The sequence below is a fragment of the Homo sapiens genome, chromosome 17 (assembly GCF_000001405.40).
Source record: "Homo sapiens chromosome 17, GRCh38.p14 Primary Assembly".
In the NCBI taxonomy this organism is placed as follows: Eukaryota; Metazoa; Chordata; class Mammalia; order Primates; family Hominidae; genus Homo; species Homo sapiens.
Window position 1 is genome coordinate 20,344,623 of NC_000017.11, and position 12,056 is coordinate 20,356,678.

General features: G+C 36.6%; 1 pseudogene across 1 annotated transcript in view; it reads left to right on the forward strand.

Annotated features, from left to right (window-relative positions):
• The window catches only part of CCDC144CP (coiled-coil domain containing 144C, pseudogene), an 81,018-nt pseudogene that overhangs the window by 23,449 nt on the left and 45,513 nt on the right, over nt 1-12,056 (forward strand). The window contains exons 7-8 of the transcript NR_023380.1: nt 6,316-6,349; nt 6,635-6,776. The product of NR_023380.1 is annotated as a coiled-coil domain containing 144C, pseudogene (transcript). The remainder of the gene's footprint in view (nt 1-6,315; nt 6,350-6,634; nt 6,777-12,056) is intronic.

Consider the following 12,056-nt stretch of genomic DNA (forward strand, 5'->3'; position numbering starts at 1 on the left):
TCCCACCACTCTTCCAAGATTGTTGTTCTCAAGTTTACCATTGATTTGTAAATCTAGACATTGTTTCTTAGACCTCATTTTATTTAACCTGTCAGCAATATTGGACCCAATGGAAAACTCTCTCCTCCATAACAGTGTCTTCACTTGGCTTTCAGGATCTCACTCACTCACCTGGCTTTTCTTCCTGCCTTTCCAGTCCATCTGTCATAGTCTGTTTTGCTTTCTTCTCATATCCCACCTTTTACACATTGATATGTCCCAGGACTGATATGTCCCAGGACTCAGTCCTCAATCTTCTTTCTCATGACTTTTACTACCTTGTGTGTGCTAATGATTTCCAAATGCGTGTCTCCAGCCTAGATCTCTCTCCTTAATTCCAGACTTCTATACCAACCTGCCTACTTGACATCTCTGTTTGATTGGTCACGAACTGTTGGGTATCACAAACTTACCAGGTCCAAGATTGGGGTACCGATATTCTTTCTCATACCTACCCCTCACATGGTCTTTCCTACTTGCATTAATGGCAACTCTTGCAGTTGCTCTGCTAGAAACTAAGGTGTCATCATTGACTCCCCTCTCTCTCTGACACCTCACATCTAATCTGTCAGCAGATCTTGTCAGGAGTACCTGAAGAATATATCCAGAAGCCAGTCATATCTTCCATTTCCAACCCACCACCATCTGCTCTCTAGATGCATGTAATAGACTGTTAATTGGTCTGTTGTTTTTTTTTTAAAGAAACCTCTTTTCATTAATCCTTAACTCAGTGGCCATACTTAAAACATAAGTCAGATGATGTCATTCTTCTGCTCAGATCCATCTGATTGCCTCCCATTTCACTCTGAGTATGTGTCAGGGTTCCTCCTCATACCTAGAAGGCAACACACAATATGCCCTGTTCTCTCTCTCACTTAAACTTCTGTTTCTTATTCCCTTTGCTGTGCTTCAGCTACACTAAACTTCTTGCTCTTCGTTATCTATCACAGTTGCTTAAACACCCCAGGCACACCTCTGTACTGGGCAGTTCCCTGTGTTTGGGATGCCTTTTCCTCAGATAGCCTCCTGGCTTTCTTTTTCCATTCCTTCAGTTCTTTACTTCAAAGCCCCTTTCTCAATAAGGACTTTTCTGGCCATCCTAGAATTCCCACTATCCCTCCTCTCAAACCTGTAAACATTTCATTTTCCTGCTTTAGTTTTTCTCCTTTAACACTGTATATTTTGCCTAATCTATCTATGGTTATTGTGTTTATTTCACTCCCATGAGTAGGATGTTTGTGTGCCTAGAAAAGGGCCTAGCTTGCAATAAGTAGCTACTCAATAAATATTTATTAAATGAGCAACTGAAGTTTACCCTTCGGTGTATTGTTTTAAACATTAGATTGATTCTCAGGTAAGAAAAAAAAAAAAAGAAAAAGAAAGGTTTCACATGGGTTCATTCTAACACTTTTGCCTGGAAATTATATGCGTTTTTGGATTTTTTGGCTCTTTGTAATAAGCTACATTCTTTGTATTAATAGTTTTCCATTTAGAGAGAAAAGCTCAATATTGTGGTTACTCACTATTTATTCTTTTACTAATAATCATGATAGTTTTACTTATGATAAAATGGATCAAAGGAATTACATAGTTCATTGGTAATTTATAAAGAAAATTAAAATATAAGGGTGGTAAATTTAATGGACTTAAAATTGTTTCCAATTGATTATGAACCTTCAGTATTTGAAGTTAAAAGACCAAGTTGGAATGTGTTGCTTTCTATAAGAGAGCTATGCTCATCAGGCACTCTGTATTCTGACAGAGCAGCTGTTGATCTTACATAGGGTTGCAGGAGGAGCGGACTTGAAGCATTGGCAGACTCTCAGCGGCATAGGAGGGTTAACATCATCTGGAGAAACATGGCTATCTGAGTGAGGCTGCTGTGGGTTGGTTAACACTCCCAGGCTTGTGGATTGGAGTGAGTTTGTGTTTAATTGGCTGTCTTTCCGAAGCAAGTGGTCCACATTGATATTGGTTGGTGAGAGAGGCCAATGGTCACTGATGATTGACTGTATTTACAACTGGCTGTGGGTGGTTGCTTGTTACAAATATAGCTACTAAGTTTGAGACAACTTTAAACTGCAGTTTTCTGTTTAAAAGTTGCCTTCCATCAACTATGTTTAAAATGAAAATGATTTCATATTCCAGAACTATAGACTTAATTTGGAAGTGTGGGTCAAGAGGAATTGTTTAATAATTGCTCTCAGGAAGATCTCTTTTTTTGATGCTTAGTCTTAACCAGAAGAATTCGCTACATAGTTAAAAAACAAGCAAACAAACAAACAAAAAGCAATTATTAATTTTGTTTCAGTTTTTAGTATTTTCAGAGACTTCTGCTAAACTCCTAATCTCCAGTGGGAAATGTTTGTCTCTTTGTTAATGTATGTAGTTATATGATAGTGATATTCTTTTTTTTATTCCTTAATCTTTTTTTGTTCACCTTCTCTTCCATGCAATGATAGTGATATAATGTGTGTTTACTTCATAAAAAAGTAATTACAATTTTCTGCTGGCAAATCCACCTTTTTATATTAAGACTAAGTACTAGACTAAATATGTGGGAAATTTACCAAATTATTTTATTTTCAAACAAACATATAACTAATCAGAATATTGCTATTTTTGAACAATATATAATGACTATAATGACATTTAGGAATTTTAACACTAAGATTTTTTTCTTCCCGAGACATTTCCTTGATTTCTTTCATGTAATATGTGCCTGTTATTTTTAAAACTTGGTTAATCTGTTTAAACATTATTATATTTAAAAACAAAACCCAAAACATAGCACAGATCTAAATATGAGTTTCATGTGTGAGAGTCATTGCCTGTGTGCAGTGGACTCCAGCTGTTTTTTTTTTTTTTTTTTTTTTTTTGAGACGCAGTCTCGCTCTGTCGCCCAGGCTGGAGTGCAGTGGCACCATCTCAGCTCACTGCAAGCTCCGCCTCCTGGGTTCCCGCCATTCTCCTGCCTCAGCCTCCCGAGTAGCTGGGACTACAGGCACCCGCCACCGCACCCAGCTAATTTTTTGTATTTTTAGTAGAGACGGGGTTTCACCGTGGTCTCGATCTCCTGACCTCATGATCCGCCCGCCTCGGCCTCCCAAAGTGCTGGGATTACAGGCGTGAGCCACTGCGCCCGGCCAGCTGTTTTTTTTTTTCTTTTCTTTTTTCGTTGTGACAGAGTCTCACTCTGTCACCAGGCTGGAGTGCAGTGGCAATCTCAGCTCACTGCAACCTCCAGCTCCTGGCTTCAAGCGATTCTTCTGCCTCAGCCTCCCGAATAGCTGGGACTACAGGTGCGCCACCATGCCCAGCTAATTTTTGTATTTTTAGTAGAGATGGGCTTCACCATGTTGGCCAGGATGGTCTTGATCCATTGACCTCATGATCCGCCCGCCTCAGCCTCCCAAAGTGCTGGGATTACAGGTGTGAGCCACCGCACCCAGCTGACTCCAGCTTTTTAGTGTGGCATTCATCTTCCATTCTTACTTTCTTTGTGTTTTACACTTTTCCTTTCAAGTTCCTAGGAAACACCTAGACTCCATGGGACTAATCTTTGTGCTGTCATTCCATTCTCCAAGTGGAGTAGTTTTCTCTATTTTTTCCCTGGTGAGCTCCTCTTATATTTTGCCTCTTCTGTAATGACTTCCTTGTGCTAAAATATAACTTTCCATATATCAACTCTTAAACTACACATTGTATCATAATTGCATATTACCTGGTTTTTGAGGCAGGAAATATATATTTCTTTATATGTTGTTGATAATTCATAACTGTGTTTTTTGAATTAATGAATTGAGATGGGGAAGAATTGGAATTTTACAAAATTTTTTTTATTTGTTATCAGTAGAATTATTATAAAACATTGGCTTTTTGTAGATTTTTTAAAGTTGTGGTTCTGCGTTACATATGAAGGAAGTAAAGAAAAATGAAAATAAAAAATGTACCTCAAAATAATCTCTAAAATAATCTCTGATTACACCAGTGTTTGAGAAGGCTAATTTAGTAACTTGTGGTCTGCTACAAGGAGATGATGACAGCAGTTTAAGTGAAATAGATGAGGTTGAAAGAAGTTAAAATGTATAAGTTCTTTATTTCTCTGAGAAGGAATATTCCCAGTGGTTACTTTTTCTGGAAATAGAAAATAGTGTAGTCTGCCAAAGCTAGAGAATACTCAACTATATCAATGCTGAAAGACTGATTATGATGAGGGCTGGTAACTTTGACAAGGAGCAGTTTCAATAAATAATTGCTGTGGAATCCTGACTGTAGTGGATAAGCATAGATACCCCTTGAGGGAACCGTTATTGGGAAAGGCAACAGAGAAATGAGTGATAACTGAAGAAGAATGTGGGATTCAAGGGAATTTTCTTTCTTTTTTATTTCAAAATAGAAGCTTTTAGAGTGTGTTTGTATGCTGCTGGGAATGATAGGGACAAGGATAACATGTTTATGAGATTTAATTTTGTATGTCTAAGTGTTTGAAAGCTCGGTTCATTATCTTTTGTAGGTTTTTAGCAAACTAATTGTCCTTAAAGTGTTTATTCATGTAGAGTTTTATGGTAAGAGTTTGTTCCTTCAGCATTGGTTCAGAAATGTAACATATTAGCATAACTGAACCTGTGAATGGTGACCTAAAATTTAAACTATCATATGCAGATTGTTTTTAATTATGAAATAATAAACATGCAAACACTTAGGCCATACTGAATAGAATTTAAACATCCCTGATGAATAGGTATGATCTGCTGAGGTACTCTAAAATGTCAGGAGTATCAACTTTACAGTTGTTTAGATTCTGGGGAGAAGGGGAGGGTTTTGTTTAAGTACTTTAGAAAAGCTAACTGTTGACAGTCTATCAGATTATTACTTCTGGATTATAAAGTTTTGTTTTTTTTGTTTTTTTTGTTTTTTTTTTTTTGAGACAGAGTCTTGCTCTTTCACCCAGGCTAGAGTGCAGTGGCACAATCTTAGCTCACTGCAATCTCCACTTCCCAGATTCAAGCGATTCTCCTGTCTCAGCCTCCTGAGTAGCTGGGATTGCAGGCGCCCGCCACCGTGCCCAGCTAATTTTTGTATTTGTAGTAGAGACGGGGTTTCATCATCTTGGGAAAGCTGGTCTTGAACTCCTGACCTCGTGATCCATCCACCTTGGCCTCCCAAAGTGCTGAGATTACAGGCGTGAGCCACTGCACCTGGCCTATAAAGTTTTTTTTAAAAATATTTAATCAAGTTGACCTACAATGGATTATAAAGTTCTGAAGTATCAAAACCATGTTTCCCTTGACCAACATTGCCATCAGCATGTATTGTGTGCTCAATGAGTATTTATTTGTTGAATGCGTGAATGAATGGGTGAATACATGAATGAATACCTGTTGATGGATTTCATTAAAAATACTTTTTAGTTTTTTGAAAGTAGTTTTCTAAACTTGCCTCTGTATAAAGTTTTTTTATTAGAAAAAATTGCAAGATTCTGACATTATTTATAGTTGTAGTCAGAAATGGAATGACAATGTGGGTTCATCTGCTATCATCTCTCTTTAAAACACTTGAAAATAAATGTTACCTTCACAGCATATCATGAAGCACATGTTTTTGAGGCAGAATTCTTGGGTTTGAGTTCTGGATCTGCTACTGACCAGCTGTATGGGCTGAGGACAGTCACTTGGCCCTTCTGTGCCTATTTTCTTTCTTTATAAAATTCTTAATATGTTACTGACCTCACAGAATTGTTATGAGGATTATATGAGTTTGACACATGGACAGTGCTCAGAATGATGCACAGTACCTGCATAGTAAGTCCAGAAAAAGCTTACTAATATCATCATTAAAAAAGGGTTTCCCTTATATAAGAATGTGAGTAATATTTTCCAAATAGGTTTTAGTGCCCGTAAAAGCTTGTTTTTATTGAAAAGGACAACAATGAGAAGACCCTGGTATATTTATTTTTATCACGTAATGCAGGTAACATATTTTTTTCTTTTGGTTTTACTATGAGAAATCTTGACCTAAATTTAATTCTTTGTAATTATATTAGTAGTAGTAAATTTCTTTATCCCTTAATGTTGCTGTTTCTGTTTATAGTTTAATGTCCGTTGTAGAAAATTACTGCATTTTACATTACCTGTAAAAAAATTACCTATACACTTGATGAATAGAAGTAACACAAATGCAGACATTTTATATGATAAAACAGTAGTGTTAGATATTCTTTGTATTTTAAATCTTTGCTATTTTTCTAAGAGGAATTGTTTTTTTTTTTTTCAGGCCTGCAGATAAAACATCTAATGAAAAGAACGAGGTATTGTAAAAAAGGAAATGATCTAAAATATTGTTTTAAAAAAACAAGTTCTAAAAGGTAAAAATGAAAAAAACAAGATGTTTTGTTGTAAGGCTGTTTGCTTAGAAAAAGTGATGAAGAAACAGTAACCGTTGATAATGGTACCTTTTAAGAACAATCTGTTGCTTTAAGAAGTACCTGTATTTTTGCTCATACAAAAAAAATGGAGAAATACCGCTTCTGTACCTTTAGTATATGCTATAAATCTTTCGAGGACATTTTGAAACAGTATTATTTATCTTATAGGTCAAAAACCAAATATATCCTGAGGCTGACTTTGCTGACTCAATGGAGCCATCTGAAATAGCCTCGGAGGATTGTGAATTGTCTCACTCTGTTTATGAGAATTTTATGTTGCTGATTGAACAACTTAGAATGGAGTATAAAGGTAGGACCACTGCATAAATGCAAGGCCTTTTGATGTATCCTGCAGTAATGTGTGTATACATTGCTGAGAACTGATGTGTGATAGTGAAGCTCATCTCAGAAATACGCTCAGTGTTAAAATAGAGAACTAGCTTATACTCTACGCCAAAGAGCTATGATAACTCCACTGTACTTCTCTCAGTGTGAGTGGCATTCCCAGTCTTTTTGTTGACTCTTTCTCTCCTATTCCTTCCCCCAATGTCAGGTTACCATTTTTTTCTCCACCTGGAATGCTGCGAGAATCTTAGGAATCTTAGAACTGTTTTCCCAAATACCCCACCTCCTAAAACCATGGTCTACTCTGCAATCATAATGACAAATTTTTAAAAATTTGGATCTGATCATGTTACTCCTTTGCTTATAACTCAGCTACTACTTCTTATTGCTGTAAGGTTAGAGATCTGAATCCTCTAGCTTTATCCTGCATCGTTTTTACTCTTCTCTTTCTCTGTGTCCCACTCTGTGTCTTATATGTTTGTTCCAGCACTGATAGCTTCAGTGAGGTATAACTGATATATGATAGACTGCACGTATATAAAATATACAATCGTGTGCACATTTGAAACCACCATAATCAGGAGAGTTAACATGTTCATCATCCATAAAAGTCTCTTCTTGTCCCTTTGTCTTTCTTTATTAAGAAACTGCTAAATTGTTTTCCAAAGTATTTGTATTGATTTTGCATTCCAACCAGAGGTATACGACATTTCTTGTTGTTCTGTATCATCACAAGCTCTTATTATTGCTGTTTTTAAATTTTGAAATTTTAGCCATTCTGATGGGTGTGTATTATGCATATCATTATGGTTTTAATGTGCATTACCCTAAGGACTAATAATGTTGAGCATCTTGTATATGCTTATTTGCCACCTGTGAACTGTCTTTTCCAATCTGGGTAGCTTATGAACATTTAAAATTGAGATTCGATTCAATCAGCTTTTTTACATACACCAAAGATAGTCAAACCTTTTCATTTTCAAACTGTTATCTTACTAAACATAGTAAATATTTTAAACTTGTGATGAAATGGTCTCTGTCACAGCCAATCAACTCTGCCATTGTAGTATGAGACCAGCCATAGACAATACATATGTTAAAAAACACAACTGCATTCCATTAAAACTTTATTTGCAAAAATAAGAAGCTGCCCCGCAGGTTGGATTTTACCCATCCCTATTATGTGATCATGATTGTGAATACAGACAGTTTTACTTCTTCTTTTCAACTCAGGTAGCTTTTATTTCCTTTTCTTTCCTAACTGCACTGGCTTCAGTGCAATGCTGACTAGAATAGTGAAAGGAGACATTCCTGTATTGTTCCCGATCTTACAGGGAAAGCATTCAGTTATTCATCATGACACATGTTAGTTGTAGGTTTATCAGAGATGCTCTTTATCATGCTGATGGCGTTCCCTTGTATTCTTTAGTTACTGAGAGGGGTTTTTTTTTTTTAAATCAGGAATGAATGTTGTATTTTATCAAATGCCTCTATCTACTGAGATGATCATATGGTTCTTCTCTTTTAGTTTTTTAATGTGGTGAATACTTATATTTTAATGTCAAACAAACCGTGTATTTAGGGATACACCCCACTTGTTTATGATGTATTATCCTTCTAATGTATCATTGGATTTGATTTGCCAAAGCTTTATTTAGAGCGTTTTAAAAGACTATTTTTTAGAGTAGTTTTAGCTTCACAGCAAAATTGAAAGTAAGGCACAGAGATTATCCCTGTACTCCCTGCCCCCACACGTGCATAGCCTCCACAATTATCAATATCCTCACCAGAGTGCTACACTTGATCTCATTGATGTTCCTGAATTGATAATCATAATCACCCAAAGTCCATAGTTTATATTAGGGTTCATTCTCGGTGTCTTATATTCTGTGAATTTGGACAAAAGTATAAGGACATGTATTTATCATTGTAGTATTATCCAAAGTAATTTCAGAGCTTTAAAACTCCTTTGTGCTTCATCTGTTCATCTTTTCCCACCTTCCCTCCCCAACTCTTGGCAACCACTGACTTTTTTTACTGTGTCTGTAGTTTTGCCTTTTCCAAAATGTCATTTAGTTGGTATCAGACAGCGTGTAGCCTTTAGACTGGCATCTTTCACTTGGTAATATGCCTTTGTGGTTCCTTCATGTCTTCTCATGGCATGATAGCTCATTATCGCATGGCTGTACCAGAAGTTGTTCACTCACCTAAAGGAGGATATCTTGGTTTTTTGAGAAACTGGTTACATTTTTACGTCCATGTTCATGAGGGAGTCAGATTTTGGTTCAGGGTAATGCTAGAGGGACAGAATGAGTTGTATTTCTCCTCTATTTTTTTTTTGAGGGCAGGGGGAGAGGTCATGTAAAATTGTTATATTGCTTCTTAAATATTTGGTAGAATTCACCAGCATAGCTATCTGGGCCTGGAGTTTTCTTTCTAGGAAGGCTTTACTTATGCTTTCTTTTATAGATATAGGACAGTTCATGTTATTCCTTCTTAAATTGGACCTTGGTAATTTTTGTTTTTCAAGGCAAGTGTCCATTTTATCAAAGTTGTCATGTTTAGTCACATAAAGCTTACCTTATTATATTTGTATTCTTTTAGTATCTGTAGAATCTATAAAAATGTCATGTTACTATGTTTCTGAAGTTAGTAATTTGCATCTTCTTTTTTATGATCAACCTGGCTAGAGTTTTATCACTTTTATTGACCTCCTCAAAGTGTGTGGTTTTATTGATTTTTTTCCTATTGTTTTTCCGTTTTATTGGTTTCATCTTTGATGTTTTGGTCTGTTCGGCCTGCTATAACAAAATACCATAGACTGGGTAGCTTATAAACAACAGAAATAGATTTCTCACAAAAGTCCAAGATCTAGGTGCTGGCAGATTTGGTGTCTGGTGAGAGACCAATTCCTGGTTCATAGATCTCTTTTTTCCCCCTGTGTCCTCACATGGCAGAACAGGTGAATGAGCCCTCTGGGGTCTATATATATAAGGGCACTAATCCCACTAATGAGGGCTTGGCTCCCATGAGCTAATTACCTCCACAAAGCCCCACCTTCTGATAACATCACCTCTGTGATTAAGTTTCAGCATATGAGTTCTGGGAGGATGCAAATGTCAGACAATACCAGATGCTTATTGTATCATTTCCTCTGCTTGCTTTGAGTTTAATTTGTTCTTCTTCTTTTTTAGTTTCTTCTCTTTTTTTAGTTTCTTAAGATAAAAGTCAAGACCATTGACTTGAGAGTCTTCTAATATAGACATTAAGTGCTAAAAAATTTTAAGTACTGTTGTAGCTGTGTTCCACAAATCCTGATATGTAGTATTTTCATTTTCATTCAGTTCAAAATACTCTCTAATTTCTCTTTGCATCGTGTCTTTGACCTAGGGTTATTTAGATGTGTATTACTTTGTTTTAAAATATTTGAATATTTTGATGAGATATTTTGTTACTAATTTGTGATTTGATTGCCATGTGGTCAGGGAACATACTTTGTATGACTTAAATCTTTCTGACTTAATTCTTTCATTAAGATTGATTGCAGGCCGGGTGCAGTGGCTCACGCCTGTAATCCCAGCACTTTGGGAGGCTGAGGCGGATGGATCACGAGGTCAGGAGATCGAGACCATCCTGACCAATACGGTGAAACTCTGTCTCTACTAAAAATACAAAAAATTAGCCGGGCGTGGTGGCAGGCTGAGGCAGGAGAATGGCATGAACCCGGGAGGCGGAGCTTGCAGTGAGCCGAGATCCCGCCACTGCACTCCAGCCTAGGCGACAGAGCGAGACTCCGTCTCAAAAAAAAAAAAAAAAAGATTGATTGCAGAACCTAGAATGTGGTCTGTTTGGTAAGTGCTCACTGGGTACTTGAGAAGCATGGTGTTGTTCAAGTGTGCTCCATTCTTGCTGATTTGCAGCTCCCTTGTTTTATCACTTATTGAGTAAGTGATATTCAAATCTCAGATGTACTTGTGAATTTGTCTATTTCGTCTATTGATTTTTGCCTCATATATTTTGAAGCTGTTATTAGGTGCACAAACATTTGAGATTACACGTTCTTGATTAACTGAATTTTTTTTTTTTTTTTTTGTATTTTTAGTAGAGACGGGATTTCACCATGTTAGCCAGGATGGTCTCGATTTCCTGACCTCGTGATCCACCTGCCTCGGCCTCCCAAAGTGCTAGGATTACAGGCATGAGCCACCGCGCCCAGCCGATTAACTGAACTTTTAAAAGTCATTAGGAAATGACTGTTTATAGCTGGTAATTTTTTTTTTTTTTTTTGGTGTGAAATCTACTTTGGTATTAACATAGCCATTTCTTCTCAGGCTTCTTTTGTCAACTCTTAGCCTGATATATCTTTTTCCATTCTTTTGAACAATTTATGTTTTTACATTTAAAGTGCTTTTTTTAATAGGAAGCATGGAGTAGGTTCTTGCCTTTTTATCCAGTCTGACAATCTGCCTTTTAATTGAGATTTTTAGGCCAGTTCCATTTATAATGTGCTTATTGATACAGTGAAATTTGTCTGTCATCAAGCTGTTTGATTTCCATTGGTCCCCCCAGTTCTTTGTTCTCTTCTTTTTCTGCTTTCTTCTCAATTAGTCCAGTAATTTTTATGATTTATTTTTATCTCCCTTTTATGGCTTATTAGCGATAACTATTTTTTTCTATCTTAGCAGTTGCACTACAATTTATAGTATATGATTTTAACATCACAGTCCATCTTCAAAAAATATTATGGCATATCATATATGGCATAAGAAAATTATGAATGAAAACCCAAACATTGTATGTTCTCACTTGTAAGTGGGAGCTATGCTATGAGGATGCAGGGGCATAAAAATGATACAGGTTGGGGACTTGTGGGGAAAGAGTGGGAGGGGGGTGAGGGACAAAAGACTACGGATTGGATCCAGTGTATGCTGCTTGGGTGATGGGTGCGCCAAAATCTCAGAAACCACCACTAAAGAACTTATTCATGTAACCAAGGACCACCTGTTACCCCAAAAGCTATTGAAATTTTTTAAAAAAGAAAATTGGAATAGTATACTTTCATTTCCTCTCTCCCAGCCAGATACTTCTGGATTTGTAGGATTATAGTTTTCTTTACATTTAGAAAGTTTTGGCCATTCTTTTTTTATTTTTCTGTCTCTCTTTTTCCCTCTTTGGGGACTTATTCCTGCTTGAAGTTTTCTCATAGTTCACTGATGTCTCAAATTTATGAATCTTCTCTTTGGTG